Source organism: Homo sapiens, chromosome 16 (assembly GCF_000001405.40).
Source record: "Homo sapiens chromosome 16, GRCh38.p14 Primary Assembly".
Classification (NCBI taxonomy): domain Eukaryota; kingdom Metazoa; phylum Chordata; class Mammalia; order Primates; family Hominidae; genus Homo; species Homo sapiens.
This window is the reverse complement of record NC_000016.10, coordinates 67828080-67844725: the sequence shown is the minus strand read 5'-3', so window position 1 is coordinate 67844725 and position 16646 is coordinate 67828080. Positions and strand designations below refer to the sequence as shown.

At 52.9% G+C, this 16646-nt stretch overlaps 2 protein-coding genes across 6 annotated transcripts in view, besides 7 other annotated features; one reads left to right on the top strand and one right to left on the bottom strand.

The window, feature by feature from the left end:
- The window catches only part of CENPT (centromere protein T), a 19537-nt gene extending 2968 nt beyond the window's left edge, over nucleotides 1-16569 (top strand). The window contains exons 2-16 of one of the 5 annotated variants that reach the window (NM_025082.4): nucleotides 9068-9188; nucleotides 9426-9554; nucleotides 10626-10976; nucleotides 12181-12271; nucleotides 12411-12498; nucleotides 12618-12714; nucleotides 12836-12972; nucleotides 13114-13150; nucleotides 13368-13510; nucleotides 14178-14336; nucleotides 14638-14961; nucleotides 15210-15303; nucleotides 15883-16059; nucleotides 16148-16252; nucleotides 16336-16569. In NM_025082.4, coding sequence (NP_079358.3) covers nucleotides 10867-10976; nucleotides 12181-12271; nucleotides 12411-12498; nucleotides 12618-12714; nucleotides 12836-12972; nucleotides 13114-13150; nucleotides 13368-13510; nucleotides 14178-14336; nucleotides 14638-14961; nucleotides 15210-15303; nucleotides 15883-16059; nucleotides 16148-16252; nucleotides 16336-16459 — 1686 coding nt within the window. In that variant the 5' untranslated portion in view covers nucleotides 9068-9188; nucleotides 9426-9554; nucleotides 10626-10866 and the 3' untranslated portion in view covers nucleotides 16460-16569. Of the gene's footprint in view, nucleotides 1-9067; nucleotides 9189-9425; nucleotides 9555-10625; nucleotides 10977-12180; nucleotides 12272-12371; nucleotides 12499-12617; nucleotides 12715-12835; nucleotides 12973-13113; nucleotides 13151-13367; nucleotides 13511-13567; nucleotides 13901-14177; nucleotides 14337-14637; nucleotides 14962-15209; nucleotides 15304-15882; nucleotides 16060-16147; nucleotides 16253-16335 lie in introns of those variants that run through there. The other 4 variants (XM_047434686.1, XM_024450455.2, XM_024450456.2 and 1 more) reach the window with 4 other exon arrangements.
- Nucleotides 531-2406, bottom strand: THAP11 (THAP domain containing 11). Its single transcript, NM_020457.3, has one exon. The coding sequence runs from the start codon at nucleotides 2169-2171 to the stop codon at nucleotides 1227-1229; it is 945 nt and encodes a 314-aa protein (NP_065190.2). The 5' UTR covers nucleotides 2172-2406; the 3' UTR covers nucleotides 531-1226.
- Nucleotides 1083-1132: an enhancer, noted in NCBI's record as "active region_10990". NCBI's record gives its function as "activates an Ori minimal core promoter by ATAC-STARR-seq in GM12878 lymphoblastoid cells {active_cell/tissue: GM12878}" and the evidence as "EXISTENCE:reporter gene assay evidence [ECO:0000049][PMID:35858748]".
- Nucleotides 1444-2190: an enhancer, noted in NCBI's record as "H3K27ac-H3K4me1 hESC enhancer chr16:67876439-67877185 (GRCh37/hg19 assembly coordinates)". NCBI's record gives its function as "activates a minimal SCP1, AML or CMV promoter by ChIP-STARR-seq in naive H9 embryonic stem cells {active_cell/tissue: H9 hESC(naive)}" and the evidence as "EXISTENCE:reporter gene assay evidence [ECO:0000049][PMID:30033119]".
- Nucleotides 1573-1732: an enhancer, noted in NCBI's record as "active region_10989". NCBI's record gives its function as "activates an Ori minimal core promoter by ATAC-STARR-seq in GM12878 lymphoblastoid cells {active_cell/tissue: GM12878}" and the evidence as "EXISTENCE:reporter gene assay evidence [ECO:0000049][PMID:35858748]".
- Nucleotides 2213-2392: a silencer, noted in NCBI's record as "silent region_7627". NCBI's record gives its function as "represses an Ori minimal core promoter by ATAC-STARR-seq in GM12878 lymphoblastoid cells {active_cell/tissue: GM12878}" and the evidence as "EXISTENCE:reporter gene assay evidence [ECO:0000049][PMID:35858748]".
- Nucleotides 2643-2692: an enhancer, noted in NCBI's record as "active region_10988". NCBI's record gives its function as "activates an Ori minimal core promoter by ATAC-STARR-seq in GM12878 lymphoblastoid cells {active_cell/tissue: GM12878}" and the evidence as "EXISTENCE:reporter gene assay evidence [ECO:0000049][PMID:35858748]".
- Nucleotides 10625-10674: an enhancer, noted in NCBI's record as "active region_10987". NCBI's record gives its function as "activates an Ori minimal core promoter by ATAC-STARR-seq in GM12878 lymphoblastoid cells {active_cell/tissue: GM12878}" and the evidence as "EXISTENCE:reporter gene assay evidence [ECO:0000049][PMID:35858748]".
- Nucleotides 11155-11204: an enhancer, noted in NCBI's record as "active region_10986". NCBI's record gives its function as "activates an Ori minimal core promoter by ATAC-STARR-seq in GM12878 lymphoblastoid cells {active_cell/tissue: GM12878}" and the evidence as "EXISTENCE:reporter gene assay evidence [ECO:0000049][PMID:35858748]".

Below are 16646 nucleotides of genomic sequence, written 5' to 3'. Positions count from 1 at the left end.
CTCTCTGTGGATACAGCTCTGTCACACCGAAGGTGTACCAAGGCCAAGGTATCTATACAACAGTCCTTGTGCCTGAAGCAGCCCTGGCTAGCTCCAGCTGCGCTCTTACCGGTTCACAGAGTAACTGCATGCACATGCATACCAGAGGCTGTGCTAAGCCTAAGGGATGTCATGGTGAGCAAAATTCAATCCCAGCTGAGAATTGAAACCCTCAGAGGCGAACTATCACAATATAGCTTAGTTACCAGTTGGTCCTTCTTGTTGAAAGGATACAGGGAGATAATCCATGGACAAACTGGGCCCATTTGGTGCAGTTTCCAAACTCTTTAGGGTGAGCTGGGCCAGGAACTCTGTGAGGACCTTATAAGGCCAGGATCCATGTGCTTAGGGCCCATTTTTGGAAAAACTGGTCATTGAAGCATCTCTACTTTCAGGGTCAGCCTGGTCTTTCAGAAAGGCTGAGGCCTATTTCCCCATGTTTCAAGGACATTTAACTATGTTTTTGTAAAAATAAAATGGCGAGACCCAAATAAAAACCTTACTTTTTGTTTAATTTGTTTTGCCAAACAAACACAGTGAAAACTTTAGTCTGACTAATTGTACAGAAAATAGAATTTGTAACCAGTAGCAAACAAAACAGGATAAACCTAAGTCCCTGGCAAGCTGGATCTCCATCAGCAGGTCATCCAGATCCCCTTGTAAATGGCCTCCTGGGAAAATAAGTCCTAGGAGGCAGAGGCACAGATTTACCAGTCCCCATCAGAATCACAGGCTGCACCTGGGAAGGAAAAGCATGAAAAGGAGGAGAACTGATGTTACTTGAATCTCTTATCACTACACACATTAGAGTTGTCTGACTGCTGACCAACCTTAAGGTATGGTTTTCCCAAACCTATAGTCCCTGGACATCCCACCTGCATCCCTAGAGGGTAAGTTTCAAGTTCAGTGGTTCTGAAGCCTCTGCTTAACCAGAATCTGCAACAATAACTGGGGAGGAAGGGTAGACAAAGTCATAATTGCTGGTGTCACCAGGGCAGAGTCTAAGGCCCCAGCTTCCACTTCAGGAGGAAACAATTGAGGATGCCAGGTCACCAGCAAGAGAGTCCAGCTGCCTTAAGCCTCAGTACTGTCAACCAGTGCCCAGGAGTATAGAGGAGTTCAACAATGGCCTGCGGTCCCCTGGCTGGATGGGGTCTGGGAGTCCAGCAGGCTGCCGGGGCACCAGTTCACATTCCGTGCTTCTTGCGGATGACAGCCATGGCAAGCAGCCGATCCTTCTCACGCAGTTCTTCGCGCAGCTTGGCCTCAGTGAGACGCAGGTGGCGAATGCTGCCTTTCATCTCTTTCATCTTCACTTCCATCAGAGCCAGGATGTCCCGCTGCTCATTCAGCTTGCGCAGGAGCTCCTCCTCCGTGGTGCCTGACGACAAGGAGTACGAATGGTCGGAGCCAGTATCAGGGAAGCCCTCTTCCCCTACCACCACCAACTGGGGGCCCATAGGGCACTCGGCAGCCTCCAGCCCTGCGGTAGCAGCCTGTAACTCCGACGCGGCGGCCGCAGCGGCTGCGCCCTCTGCGGCTGCAAACTCCACTTGCACTGTGAGATCGATGGGCTTCACGTCTTCTCCAGTGGGAGTGATGGGCGCCGGCTGTACGGATCCCGGAGCCTGACTGCTGTCTACAGTGGCCTGAAGGGTGAGAAGCACGGCCGCGGAAGCAGATACCAGGTTCGGCTGCAGCTGGGCAGTCTGGGCAGTGGAGGCAGAGGGTGAGGACTGCTGCTGCTGCTGCTGCTGCTGCTGCTGTTGCTGCTGCTGCTGCTGTTGCTGCTGTTGCTGCTGCTGCTGCTGTTGCTGCTGCTGCCTGCGGCGGGCGGCCGCGGCCCCAGCGGGTCTGCGCGCTACTTTGCGCTCATTGACGCCGCGCAGCGGGAAGATGGTGGGGACGCGTACCGTGTAGGTCTTGCGGCCGCCCTGGAAGTGAACGCTGCAGAGACGGTGGCCTGTGGTGGGCTGGAAGGTGGAGAAGCACCCACTGACGCCGGCACGCGACACGTTCTTGAGCCAGAGGCGCCGCAACTCAGCGTCCTTTGGAAACGTGTAGAAGTGCAGCGCCTTGTCCCGGTGCGAGTTGTTGTAGCAGCCTGGCACGCAGCACGTAAAGCCAGGCATGGCTGCGCCGCGCGGCCCGGCCCGGCCCACCGGCCTCCTGCGCTCTTCGACGGCCCAGTGGCTACGCCGCCGCCCGCCCCTCGACGGGCGGCGCCGCGCGAGGCCTTGGGTGGTATCCCACCACTGCCGCTCGGCGCAGCCGGCCCGCCCGGCGCCCCGTGCCCAGAATACGCTTCCTGCCGGCCCGCGCCGCGCCGCCCGCCTGGCTGCCCGCCTGCGCTCGGGAGTGGGCCCCGGGGACGCCGCGAAGGACCGCCTGAGAAAGAGACTACGCCCCCCACAATGCCCCGCGCCAGAAGCGGCTCACTTCCGGGGCGGGTGTGTGCGGATTCCTGCCGCCTTCCAAGGCACTGCGATAGCCTCCGAAGAGCAGATTCTTTCCCCAGCCCGTCTTGTCCCCGGCGGGCGAGAGAGGCGTATTAGGTTGGAACGCTGTCGCCTGGACTGCTCCTCACGAGGACCCGAATCCTGATAGGGGCGTGGAGCGGGGCGGTGCGCGCCTCACCGGTGCGCAAGCGCGGTGGGTATATGCCCACGGAGACTACAAATCCCGTGATGCCTCGCGCTGAACTAGGCGCCTTCCCTCCGAAGCGCCGCCTAAGGGAAAGATCGAGTTACTGCGGACCAGGATTCGGGCGAGGTTGTGCTGTTTGCCAGAACCAGTTCCCCAGCCCCGAGCCCCTTTGAGTCGACGGCATTGCTGCAGCAGAGGGAGACGAAACCTGGGCCTCGGCGCCCCGAAGGGTCTCAGGAGCCCCTTTCTTTGCGTTGGGGACTCTCTCCTGATTCAGCTGCTGCCTGCGTTGACTAACTGATCTAAACAAAGTCTCCAGTAGACGCCTACTATGTGGCTGACACGGTGCCGGGAGTTTGCGGGAGTCAGACCGACTGGGCTCCTCTCTTGGAGCCTGACTACCTAGACGGATAAGCGTCTGTCTTTTGGATAATAGATCTGAATGCACGCGAATGGATGTCTACTCACAAATAGTAATCGCTCCAAAGGAATTAACAGGAGAGCAGAGAAATGGGGGGGAGGTGGTGGGGGCCAGGAATAAAAAAACGAACGAAAGCTTGGGTAGGGAGAAGTAGCCAATTCTTGTCCCAGGAACCAGTCTGTAAGGCCACATGGCAGAAAAGAGCTAGGCTCCGCCATTAAAGAGCCTGGAAAGGGGTGGCCCGGGTAGGGCCAAGCGTAGGAAAATACCAAACTGGGACATGTTAAGGATTTGGGGTTTTATTCTGCAGGCCACTGAGAGCTATTAAAGGATTTTATGGGAAAGGATTTGCATTGTAACAATACACCTCCCCCCACCTCAACTTATTTGAGGGAATCTTTTTTTTTTTTTTTTTTTTTTTTTTTTGTAAAGGAGTCTCACTGTGTCGCCAGACTGGAGTGCAATGGTGAGATCTCGGCTCACCGCAACCTCCGCCTCCTGGGTTCAAGCAATTCTCCTGCCTCAGCCTCCGGAGTAGCTGGGACTACAGGCGCATGCCACCATGCCCGGCTAATATATATATATATATATATATATATATATATATATGTATTTTGTATTTAGTAGAGACGGGGTTTCGCCATGTTTCTCAGGCTGGTCTCGAACTCGTGAGCTCAGGCAATCTGCTCGCCTCGGCCTCCCAAAGTGCTAGGATTACAGGCGTGAGCTAGGATCACGGCGCCTGGCTGGGGGAAAATGTTTTAAAGAACACAAAATGTTGTGGAAAGCCAGGGAGGGGCCAGGCAGTTCTCCAGGTGAATTACCTGCAAACTAGCCCTCCTTTGCCGAGTTCTTCCTTCTCCCAATTTTTTTTAAACTTTTACTTTAGGTTCGGGGGTACGTGTGAAGGTTTACTACATAGGTGAACTCGTGTCACCGCGATTTGTTGTACAGATTATTTCATCACCCAGGTATTAAGCCCAGTACCCAATAGTTATCTTTTCTGTTCCTCTCCCTCCTCCCGCCCCCCGCAATTAGACCCCAGTGTCTGTTGTTGTCTTCTTTGTGTTCATGAGTTCTCATCATTTAACTCACACTTGTGAGAATATGTGGTATTTGGTTTTCTGTTCCTGCATTAGTTTGCTAAGGATAATGGCCCCCAGCTCCATGCATATTCCCACAAAAGACATGATCGTGGTCACCTCCCAATTTTTCTTGTCCTTTTTTCTCTCCTGATAGCAGATCACAGGCATGAAATAGAAACCTAATATATATTATTTCTTTTTTTTCTTTTTTTATTTTGAGACGGAGTCTCGCTCTGTTGCCCAGGCTGGAGGGCAGTGGCGCGATCTCAGCTCACTGCAAGCTCTGCCTCCCGGGTTCATGCCATTCTCCTGCCTCAGCCTCCCAAGTAGCTGGGACTACAAGCGCCCGCCACCGTGCCCGGCTAATTTTTTTTGTATTTTTAGTAAAGACGGGGTTTCACCGTGTTAGCCAGGATGGTCTCGATCTCCTGACTTCGTGATCCGCCCGCCTCGGCCTCCCAAAGTGCTGGGATTACAGGCGTGAGCCACCGCGCCCGGCCTCTAATGTACATTACTTCTAATTATATTATTGGACATAAAAACAAAATGGGGCCGGTGTAGCCCCTGGTAAAAGATATGCATTCATTTGGGTGAATCATTTATACAACGGTATAAACGTGAACACACATATTGCATTTTTACTTATGTATTTATTTATTTGAGATGGAGTTTCGTTCTCATTGTTGAGGCTGAAGTGCAGTGGTGCGATCTCGGCTTACTGCAACCTCCACCTCCCAGGTTCAAGAGATTCTCCTGCCTCAGCCTCCCAAGTAGCTGGGATTACAGGCGCCAGGCACCACAACCAGCTAATTTTGTGTACTTTTAGTAGAGACAGGGTTTCGCCATGTTGGGCTGGCTGGTCTCCCACTCCTGACCTCAGGTGATCCACCCACCTCGGCCTCCCAAAGTGCTGGGATTATAGGTGTGAGCTACCGTGCCCAGCCTATTTATTTATTTATTTATTTTTATTTTTCTTAGACGATGTCTCACTCTGTTGCCCAGGCTGGCGTGTAGTGGTGCAATCTTGGCTCACTGCAACATCCGCCTCTTGGGTTCAAGCAATTCTTCTGCCTTAGCCTCCCAGGTAACTGGGATTACAGGTGTGCACGACCACACCCAGCTAATTTTTTTTGGTTTTTTTTTTTTTTTTTTTGAGGTGGAGTTTTGTTCTTGGTCAGGCTGGAGTGAAGTGGCACGATCTAGGCTCACTGCAAACTCCACTTCAGGGTTCAAGCAATTCTCCTGCCTCAGCCTCCCAAGAGCTGGTATTATAGGTGCCCACCACCATACCCGGCTAATTTTTGTATTTTTGTAGAGCGGGGTTTTCCTCATGTTGGCCAGGTTGGTCGCAAACTCCTGACCTCATGCAATCCACCCATCTCAGCCTCCCAAAGTGCTGGGATTACAGGCGTGAGCCACCGCACCCGACCTAATTTTTGTATTTTTAGAAGAGATGGAGTTTCAACATGTTGGGCAGGCTAGTCTGGAACTTCTGACCTCAGGTGATCCGGCCACCTTGGCCTCCTAAAGTGCTGGGATTACAAGTGTGAGCCACTGCACCCGGCCAATATTACATGCTTAAATTTTTTTTTTTTTTTTTTTGAGACAGAGTCTTGCACTCACACTGTGGCCAGGGCTGGAGTGCAGTGGCACAATCTCAGTTCACTGTAATCTCTGCCTCCCGAGTTCACACGATTTTCCTGCCTCAGCCTCCTGAGTAGGTGGAATTACAGGCCCACACCACTACACCCGACTAATTTTTTGTATTTTTCATAGAGACAGGGTTTCACTATGTTGGCCAGACTGGCCTTGACCTCCTGACCTCATGATCCACCCACCTCAGCCTCCCAAAGTGCTGGAATTACAGGTGTGAGCCACCGCGCCTGGCCATTTTTTTTTCTTTTTTTTTTTTTGAGACGGAGTCTCGCTCTGTCACCCAGGCTGGAATGCAATGGCACGATCTCGGCTCACAGCAACCTCCATCTCCCGGGTTCAAGCCATTCTCCTGCCTCAGCCTCCCGAGTAGCTGGGACTACAGGCATGAACCACCATGCCTGGCTAATTTTTGTGTTTTTAGTAAAGATGAGGTTTCACCACGTTGTCCGGGCTGGTCTCGAACTCCTGACCCCAGGTGATCAGCCTGCCTCGGCCTCCCAAAGTGCTGGGATTACAGGCATGAACCACCGTGCCTGGCCATGTTTAAATACGTGTGCAGTAGAGATAAAATTCAGCAAAAGATCATTGTAACTGTTATGGTTCAAACTCTACCTGTCTCAGGACTCACCTTGCTCAAAAAATGTTGAGAGGCCAAATTGATGTAATTTCTTTATGCACAGAATATTGAAAATTATGCCCAATGAAACTCTAATTTCCAGTACATAAAATCACCTGTCATCTACACTTAATCTTCTACCTCAAAGCATATCTGGAATGCATGGCTTTCTCCCCACCTCCACGATCCAGCTCACTCTCTGTCTTAATCACCCCTGGAGAAAGGCAAGAACCTCATCACATGTCTCCCTGCCTTCAATCTTGCCTCTCCTGCAATCTGTTCTTCACATGACTGCCAGAGAAAATCTGATATGTCATACCTCTGCTTAAATTCCTCCACTGGCTTCCTATTCCATTTAGAATAATGTCCAGATTCTTTCCCAGAGCTTGCAAGACCCCATATTAGTCTAGCCCTGTCATTCTCTTTCGCTCCTCCCTGCCTCACTTCATCCCAGTATTTTTTTTAAACAAGTAATTATAACGTTTAATTATGTGAACAAACAGAATACTACTGTACAAAGAATGAAGCTCATTGTTTGTTTGTTTGTTTGTTTGTTTGTTTTTGAGACGGAGTCTCACTCTGTCGCCCAGGCTGGAGTGCAATCTTGGCTGACTGCAACCTTCACCCTCCAAGTTCAAGCGATTCTCCTGACTCAGCCTCCCGAGTAGCTGGGATTACAGGCACCTGCCATCGTGCCCGGCTAATTTTTTGTATTTTTAGTAGAGACAGGGTTTCACCATCTTGGCCAGGCTGGTCTTGAACTCCTGACCTTGTGATCCACCTGCCTCGGCCTCCCAAAGTGCTAGGATTACAGGTGTGAGCCACTGCGCCCAGCCAAAGTTCATGTTTTAATCTTTTTTGAAACATGTTTGACCAGCCTGGGCAACATGGTGAAACCCCGCCTGTACGTAAAATACAATAATTAGCTGGGCATGGTGACTCACTCCGGTAATCCCAGCTACTCAGAAGGCTGAGGTGGGAGGATGGCTTGAGTCCAGAAGGTTGAGATCTTCAGTGACCTGTGATCCCACCATTGCACTCCAGCGCGGGTGACAGAGCGAGACCCTGTCTCAAAAAAAAAAGAAAAAAAAAAGGCAAGGCACGGTGGCTCACGCCTGTAATCCCAGCACTTTGGGAGGCCGAGGCGGAAGATCACCTGAGGTTAGGAGTTGGAGACCAGCCTGGCCAACAGAGCGAAACCTCGTCTCTACTAAAAATACAAAAAATTTCGTAGTGGCTCACGCCTGTAATCCCAGCACTTTGGGAGGCCGAGGCGGGCAGATCACAAGGTCAGGAGATCGAGACCATCCTGGCTAACACGGTGAAACCCCGTCTCTACTAAAAATACAAAAAATTAGCCGGGCGTGGTAGTGGGCGCCTGTACTCCCAGCTACTCGGGAGGCTGAGGCAGGAGAATGGCGTGAACCTTTGGGAGGCTGAGGCAGGCGGATCACCTGAGGTCGGGAGTTCAAGACCAGCCTGACCAACATGGAGAAACCCCATCTTTACTAAAAATACAAAATCAGCCATGCGTGGTGGCACATGCCTGTAATCCCAGCTACTCGAGAGGCTCAGAAGGCAGAGGTTGCGCCATTGCACTCCAGCCTGGGCAACAAGAGCAAAACTCTGTCTCAAAAAAAGAAAAAAAATACAAAAAATTAGCCGGGCTTGGCGGTGGGCCCCTGTAATCCTAGCTGCTTGGGAGGCTGAGGCAGGGAGAATTGCTTGAACCCAGGAGGCAGAGGTTGCAGTGAGCTGAGATCGCACCACTACACTCCAGCCTGGGCAACAAAGCGAGACTCCATCTCAAAAAAAAAAAAAAAGATGTTTGTTTTTTTCCATATTATTCAATAGTTCAAGGTTTTACTAGTAAATGAATAAATAATTTAAAACTGCAGGCTGGGGCCGGGTGTAGTGGCTCACGCCTGTAATCCCAGCACTTTGGGAGGCTGAGGTGGGCGGATCATGAGGTCAGGAGGTCAAGACCATCTTGGCCAACATGGTGAAACCCCGTCTCTACTAAAAATACAAAAAATTAGCCAGGTGTGGTGGTGGGCACCTGTAATCCCAGCTACTTGGGAGGCTGAGGCAGGGAGAATTGCTTGAAACCGGGAGGCAGAGGTTGCAGTGAGCTGAGATTGTGCCACTGCACTCCATCCCGGGCAACAAAGTGAGACTCCATCTCAAAAAACAAAAAACAAAAACAAAAACAAAACTGCAGACCAGGCGCCATGGCTCACGCCTGTAATCCCAGCACTTTGGGAGGCTGAGGCAGGCGGATCATGAGGAGTTCGAGACCAGCATGACCAAAATGGTGAAACCCCGTCTCTATACAAAAATTAGCTGGGCGTGGTGGTGCCAGCCTGTAATCCCAGCTGCTCAGGAGGCTGAGGCAGGAGAACATCTCAAAAAAAAAACAAAAACAAAAAAAAAACTGCATTTAGGTAGTAACCATGGAAATATGTCTGCAAAAGGATAGCAAATTGAGTCAGATAACACAGATATCAGATCTAAATGACAAGGAATATCGATAGCTTTTTCTCTACAGTTCTCTTATTTTGAGAAGCAAGAATCTAATTTTTTGCTTAATTTTTTTTTTCCGAGATGGAGTCTTGCTTAGTCGCCCAAGCTGGAGTAGTGTGGCTCGATCTCAGCTCTGCAACCTCTGCCTCCCAGGGTTCAAGCAATTCTCCTGCCTCAGTTTCCAGAGTAGCTGGAATTATAGGTGAGTGCCACTACACCCAGCTAATTTTTGTGTTTTTAGTAGAGACAGGTTTAACCATGTTGGCCAGACTGGTCTTGAACTCCTGACCTCAAGTGATCCGCCCGCCTCAGCCTCCCAAAGTGCTGGGATTACAGGCATGAGCCACCATGCCTGGACTTCTTGGCTCAGCTTTTTTAACACAAGCACAAATATGCCCATGCTTGTCTCAGGTATCTGATAATTTACACTTGATCTCAGTGCAGATTCTGGGAAAGTGAACTCCACGGAAGACTCAGAAACCAAGTTCTAATTCAGTTGCCATGAAAACTTAAGGTGAGAGGATTGTCAACCAGTGAAAAATACGGAGGAAAACACTAACAGAATATGGTAAGCATCTCTAGCATTAAAAATTTTTAATGGCCGGGCGCAGTGGCTCACACCTGTAATCCCAGCACTTTGGGAGGCCGAGGCAGGCGGATCACTTGAGGTCAGGAGTTTGACACCAGCCTGACCAACATGGAGAAACCCTGTCTCTACTTAAAATACAAAATTAGCCGGGTGTGGTGGTGCATGCCTGTAATCCCAGCTACTCGGGAGGCTGAGGCAGGAGAATCGCTTGAACCCAGGAGGTGGAGGTTGCGGTGAGCCGAGATTGTGCCATTGCACTCCAGCCTGGGCAACAAGAGCAAAACTCTGTCTCAAAAAAAACCCCAATTTTTATTTATTTATTTTGCTAGATGTGGTGGTAATGGGGAAAACATTAATAGAACTTTTGAGAGCCGGAATTCATCTCAAAATTGCTCGTGTTTGGAGATCATAATAACATCAGTGCTGGATCACAAACAGCCTATTAGCCTTGGAGCCTGCTTCCTGGTCTCTTCTGATAGAGATAGGCCCTATAGACAGATTTGCAAAGCAGATCTTTTAAAAATGCTTTTATTATTTTTTGATACAGGGTCTCTCTCTGTTGCCCAGGCTGGAGTGCGATCACGACTCACTTAAGTCTTGAACTCCTGGGCTCAAGCAATGCTCCTGCCTCAGCCTCCCCATTATCTGGGACTACAGGCGCGCACCACCATGACTGAATAATTTATTTTTATTTTTTGTAGAGACCAGGGGGCAGGGGTCTCACTGTGTTGCCCAGGCTGCTCTCGAACTCCTGAGCTCAAGCTATCCTCCCGCCTCGGTGTCCTAAAGTATTGGAATTACAGGCGTGAACCACCGCCTAGCCTGCAAATGCAAATCTAACCAGGTCATATGTAGGATAAAAATCTTTTTCCTGGCCCAAGTGTCTCTCCTCATCTTCGGAGAGGGAGATGGGAATGAGAGAGCCTTCTAATAATAGCAATTGCTAGTTACCAGTGCCCTGGCTTATCGTGTGTTAGACTCTGAGTTAAACATCAACTCCTTGAATCATTACAAGCTCCTTATCAGGTGGGTATCAACCTCAATTTACAGATGAAGAAGCCAAGACTTGGGCTGCTTGCATTACATTAACCGAGGTTTACCCGCAGCGAGGCTGCCTCCAAAGCATCCGGAGTTTGCAACCATCACTGTCCACCCCGCGAGCTGCGATAGTGCGAGAACTACAATTCCCGTGGGGCTGTGCGGGAGCATCGCGAGAGTTACATTAACTGTGGCGGCGGGAAGGCGGAGCCTGCAGCTGGCTGGGCGGTTAGGAGGGCCCGGGGCCGAGACGATGGCTGACCACAACCCTGACAGCGACTCCACGCCGCGCACGCTGCTGCGACGCGTGCTGGATACAGCGGACCCGCGCACCCCGCGGCGACCCCGGAGTGCTCGGGCTGGGTATGTGAGGGGGCTCCCCGAGTACTTGAGCAACTAGAGGGACCGGGGAGTGGGGTCTGGGTGGAACCCAGCGTCGACTCTGTTCGAAGAGGAAAACTGAGTCTCAGAGAGGAGCAGGGTCTGGGTGGAACCCAGCGTCGACTCTGTTCGAAGAGGAAAACTGAGTCTCAGAGAGGAGCAGGGCCTGGGACTCTGAGAACTGGTTCCATTGCTCTAGCCGGGCCCGGGCCAGCTGTTTGTGCCCCTGCCCCCAGGGCTCCAGGCAGCCAGCCCTCGGGACCACAGAGCCTGACTGATCCCGGGTCTCTGGGGGCTCGGCCACTGGAGATGGAGGATAGGGGTTCAGAATCTCACCTTCTGCTCTGTTCTCTAGGCAGCTTTCCCCAGACCAGCCAGGGTGTGCCTAGGCATTTGCCCTGAACTTCTGCGTCCCGAGGGTTCCCACTGTTCCTGCTCATTGTCTTACTGTCCTTGTAGCTCCCAGCTGGGAAATGGGAAAGGAGCTAGAGGACAGCCTGGGCAGAAGTTGGGAGGCAGCAACTGGAAGATGCTTTGCTAAGGAGCAGGGAATTTGGCCTGAGTCAGTGGGAGTGGCAGTGGGTGAGGGCTGTGGTGAGCTCATGGTGCAGAGGATGCATACGTTGACATCTGCCAGACTGGGACAGTGGAGTTTCTTTATAGGGAATGAGAAGCCATTCATTATAGGTTTTACACCCATGAGGTAGGAGCTGCGCCCTGGGAACACTTATGTGGCTCTGGAATCTGAGAGGGACTGGACTGGAGAGACTAAGGTGTCTGGGGTACCCAAGTTCTTAAAAGATTTTAAAATACTTTAGTATCCATCATGGATTGTTACTTTCATGTCTGGGGTGGATGCTTTTCCAATTGCCCCTCTTTTCTGTGTGGCTAACCCCTACTTATCCTTTGTGATTCTGCTGAAGTCACCTCTGTGAAGCCTTTCCCAGCCCCTCCTGGTTGGTTCACTCATATGCCCTCTCTATTCCCATACCCCAGGGGTCTTCTTCGGTCCACACTGCTGGTGACATAGGGCTGGGAACAGGGGCGATGGTAGGGGCAAGTGGTTTCTGGGTCCCTAGCCCTGAGGGAAAACGGCTCCAGACCAAGACCCCTGATGAAGGCATGTCTCTATATTCTCTATCCCTCCTCACCGTAATTCTCGGCATAATTGCTGGTCTTTACACAGAGCCCGGAGAGCCCTGCTTGAAACGGCTTCCCCCAGGAAGTTGAGTGGCCAAACAAGGACGATAGCCAGAGGGCGTTCCCATGGAGCCAGGGTAAGTACCCAGCCCACTGACCCCAAAGGGCCCTGGCTGCCTCGGGGAGGGGGGTTGAGGTCTAGCTCTGCTCTGGAGCCCACCTTGAGGAAATCTCAAGGCAGACGGACAGACTGGTTGCTTGGTGCTTTGCCGATAGTCTGTTGGCAGATCGGCCCATATTCAGGCCAGTGGGCACTTGGAGGAACAGACACCTCGGACGCTGCTGAAGAACATCCTACTAACTGGTAAGTGAGCGCTGGCCTGCCGGTCAGAGTTAGGTACCAGTCCAACCCCAGTCTTGTGGTATCTTTTATTCAGGGTGGCCTGTTCTGTCAGCCCCACCCTCTCCTTGGTGTTTCTGCAGCCCCAGAATCTTCCATCCTGATGCCTGAGTCGGTAGTGAAGCCAGTGCCAGCACCGCAGGCGGTCCAACCCTCCAGACAAGAGAGCAGTTGCGGCAGGTACACAGAACTCCCCCACCTTGGATTGTGCTATGGGCAGCTTAGTCCGGGAGTTTCTTGGGGGTTGCAAAAGCCAGAATTGGACTTCCTGGCCTGTCTGAGATAAGCTCCATTCTTATAGCCTGGAGCTGCAACTTCCTGAGCTCGAGCCCCCCACAACCCTGGCTCCAGGTCTGCTGGCCCCTGGCAGGAGGAAACAGAGGCTGAGACTGTCAGTGTTTCAGCAGGGAGTGGACCAGGGGCTGTCTCTCTCCCAAGGTGAGGCCCTGGACACCACTTTTGCTACCCTCTCCCTCCTGTCCTCTGGAGAGGCTGAGGAGTCCTGAGAGAGGGCCCTCACAGGCCTGGATCACTTACCATGGTTTTCTTCTTTTACATTCTCTTGCCGGTTGCTGACAGAGCCTCAAGGGAATGCTGATGCCTCTTCCCTCACCAGGTGCTGCTCTGGGTGTTTCCTGTTCTGGGAGTGGGTGGAGGAGAGACTTGGGGAGGGAGGTGCTGCCTGGGATGGAATCTGCCCATACTACTTCCTACCAGTTTTAGCCTCACAGCATCTGTTCTAAGAGATGAGAGCCCCAGGGCAGATGGAGGGATCTGTGGGCAAACTGGGTCTCAGGTACCTGACTTTCCTCTGTGCCTCCCCACCTCACCAGATCCCTCAACCTGACCTTTGCCACACCTCTTCAGCCACAGTCAGTGCAGAGGCCTGGCTTGGCCCGCAGACCTCCAGCCCGCCGAGCTGTAGACGTGGGTGCCTTTTTGCGGGATCTGCGAGATACTTCCCTGGCTCCTCCAAGTAAGGTTGGGTTTTCCCCTGCTGGCCTTTGGGGAAAGCTCTCCCCGCTATGACAGATAGGAGGTGATGCTGAGTCAGGGTTGCACCCCTCTCGGTGGGGTCAAGGACAGCGAGCAACTCTGGTCAGTGGGTCTACAAGGAATTTCTGCTTGCTTTCTACAGGGGGCCTCTTTCCTTGGTCCCTCGGTGTCTCCCAGGGCCCCATATCCTTAGACTATAGGGCTGGAGGTTGTAAAGGGGTGTGGTGTGGTGGCCAAAACTTGTTGAGAGGGGCCAGGTTTCAGGATCAGCTGGCCAATTCAAACTGACCTGGGAGCCTGATTGCAGAAAACAAGTTCACCAGAGTAAGAAGAGGGTTTGGGAAGACGGAGCAGAACAAGCAGCGAAGAGGTATTTTAAGTGGGCAGCTGGTGGGCGGGCAGCTATAGGGGCCTGGGACTGCCAGGCAGAGGAACAGGAAGGTAAGCAAGGAGGGCTGTAGGCGATAAGGCCTCGCGTGCTAGGTCGTCTTCTTTCTCTGAAGGCCACTCAGGGTGGACCCATGCAGCCCACTGTCCAGGCCCTGGCAACGCTGAGTAGCAGCCGGTGGGCCTGGAATACGCTGAGAGCCAGCTGGCCCCTGATCTCCAGGTGACAGCCTCAGAACCTGTTACTACTCTGCCCACAGACATTGTGTTGGAGGACACCCAGCCGTTCTCTCAGCCCATGGTTGGCTCCCCCAACGTGTATCACTCCCTGCCCTGCACGCCTCACACTGGGGCTGAAGACGCTGAGCAGGCTGCCGGTCGCAAGACACAGAGCAGTGGGCCTGGGCTGCAGAAGAATAGTGAGTGTGTGGCACTGGTGGCCTGGAGCCAAATTTAGCTTGGGTGAGAGTTGACAATGGTAGTTTTCCTTCCTCAAGCCCCTCTGTGCCCCTAGAGCACCCTGGCTGTGGCTGCCTCCTTCATCCAAGAGCAGAGTCCATGTTGGGCCAGGAGACTTCAGATCCATGTCCTGGTGCTGCCTCTGGCTTTGTCTTTCCTCAGTGGGCAGGACTGGGTCTGCTGGTCCATCTTTACCCTTCTCTGAGCTATGCAGCCTTGGCCTGCTGCGTCTCCGGCCTGTATTCTCTCCCCTTCACTCAGGCCCTGGGAAACCAGCCCAGTTTCTGGCAGGAGAGGCAGAGGAGGTCAATGCCTTTGCTCTGGGCTTCCTGAGCACCAGCAGTGGTGTCTCTGGAGAAGATGAAGTAGAGCCCTTACACGATGGAGTTGAAGAGGCAGAGAAAAAGATGGAAGAAGAAGGTGTGAGTGTGAGTGAAATGGAGGCAACAGGAGCACAAGGACCCAGCAGGGTAGAAGAGGCTGAGGGACACACAGAGGTGACAGAAGCAGAGGGATCCCAGGGGACTGCTGAGGCTGACGGGCCAGGAGCATCTTCAGGGGATGAGGATGCCTCTGGCAGGGCAGGTAAGAGGCCCAGTGCAGGGAGTGACTGGTGACAGCTGTGTTCAGGCCCTAGCACACAGAAAGGCCTTGTCTGGGTTGTGTTTCCGGGCACTGGTGGTGGTAGGGGGTCAGGGAGACACTGAGGGGCACCTGCTTGGCTGGAGCTAGGTGGGGCCCACCAGAAACAGGACAGAAATACTGTGGCTGTGCTGGCCTGGGTGAGATGGTCAGGCCTGGAATCCCTGTGACCCCACCCTTCTTCTTTGTAGCAAGTCCAGAGTCGGCCTCCAGCACCCCTGAGTCTCTCCAGGCCAGGCGACATCATCAGTTTCTTGAGCCAGCCCCAGCGCCTGGTGCTGCAGTGTAAGATCCCACAACCCCATTCCTCATGGGCCTCTTGGGAAGGGAGCATTGGGTATGCTGTGTACATAGGGTCCTCCCCCTTCCTACGGGTATGCAGATGATTACCCAGCAGGGCAGCTTCAGCTGGGCTGGGGAGAGCTCACCAAGAGCACCCCTGCCATCCTGGTGCCTGCCTCCACGGCTTAGAGGAGCCTGGGTGAGGGGAAAGTATGTGGTTGGTTTGTAGTCAGAAAAGGCTTCCTGGAAGACGATTAGCAGAATCGGGAAAGGCAGCAGTAGAGTAAGGAGAGAGACTATCCATTCTAAGGCCTGGAGTCATGGACCCAAGCAGGTACCAATATAGATAATAAGTCTGAACCAGGATGTCGAGTCGACTGTGGAGGGACAGAGCCCCAGGGAAAGACTGGCCTCTATGTGGCCCCCTGACCCAACTGCCCCTCAGCAGGTGGTCAGGGCTGCTGGTCCTGGCTGGCCAAGGGCCACGTGGTCCCCAGCCTCAGCAGAAGCCAGCAAGACTTGCTCTTGAATAAGAGCCTCCTTGAGGCAAGTTCAGCCCCCTCTGTCCACTGTTGCCCTCAGCTTATCTTCAGAGCCTGCAGAGCCTCTGTTGGTCAGGCATCCCCCTAGGCCCCGGACCACCGGCCCCAGGCCCCGGCAAGATCCCCACAAGGCTGGACTGAGCCACTATGTGAAACTCTTTAGCTTCTATGCCAAGATGCCCATGGAGAGGAAGGCTCTTGAGATGGTGGAGAAGTGGTGAGTCCTGGGCACATGGGGTAGGGAGAGGAACCCCTCGGGTCATGATCAGACTGTTCAGCCTGCTCTATCCCCACCTTCTTGACAGCCTAGATAAATATTTCCAGCATCTTTGTGATGATCTGGAGGTATTTGCTGCTCATGCTGGCCGCAAGACTGTGAAGCCAGAGGACCTGGAGCTGCTGATGCGGCGGTGAGAAGGCGGAAGGTGTGGGGGTGCTGGCTGGGGGAGTTTTGGTGCTGATTCTGCCTGTCCCTTCTCTTCCTCCACTGCAGGCAGGGCCTGGTCACTGACCAAGTCTCACTGCACGTGCTAGTGGAGCGGCACCTGCCCCTGGAGTACCGGCAGCTGCTCATCCCCTGTGCATACAGTGGCAACTCTGTCTTCCCTGCCCAGTAGTGGCCAGGCTTCAACACTTTCCCTGTCCCCACCTGGGGACTCTTGCCCCCACATATTTCTCCAGGTCTCCTCCCCACCCCCCCAGCATCAATAAAGTGTCATAAACAGAATATTCTGCATTTTGGTGCATGTCCTGGGGCCAGCCAGGCAGGGACTGATTCCCCCCCACAACTCCCCAGCACAGTCT

Excerpts from the sequence above, each read along its gene's own strand:
- THAP11 (NM_020457.3), bottom strand. The coding sequence starts at position 2,171 with ATGCCTGGCTTTACGTGCTGCGTGCCAGGCTGCTACAACAACTCGCAC.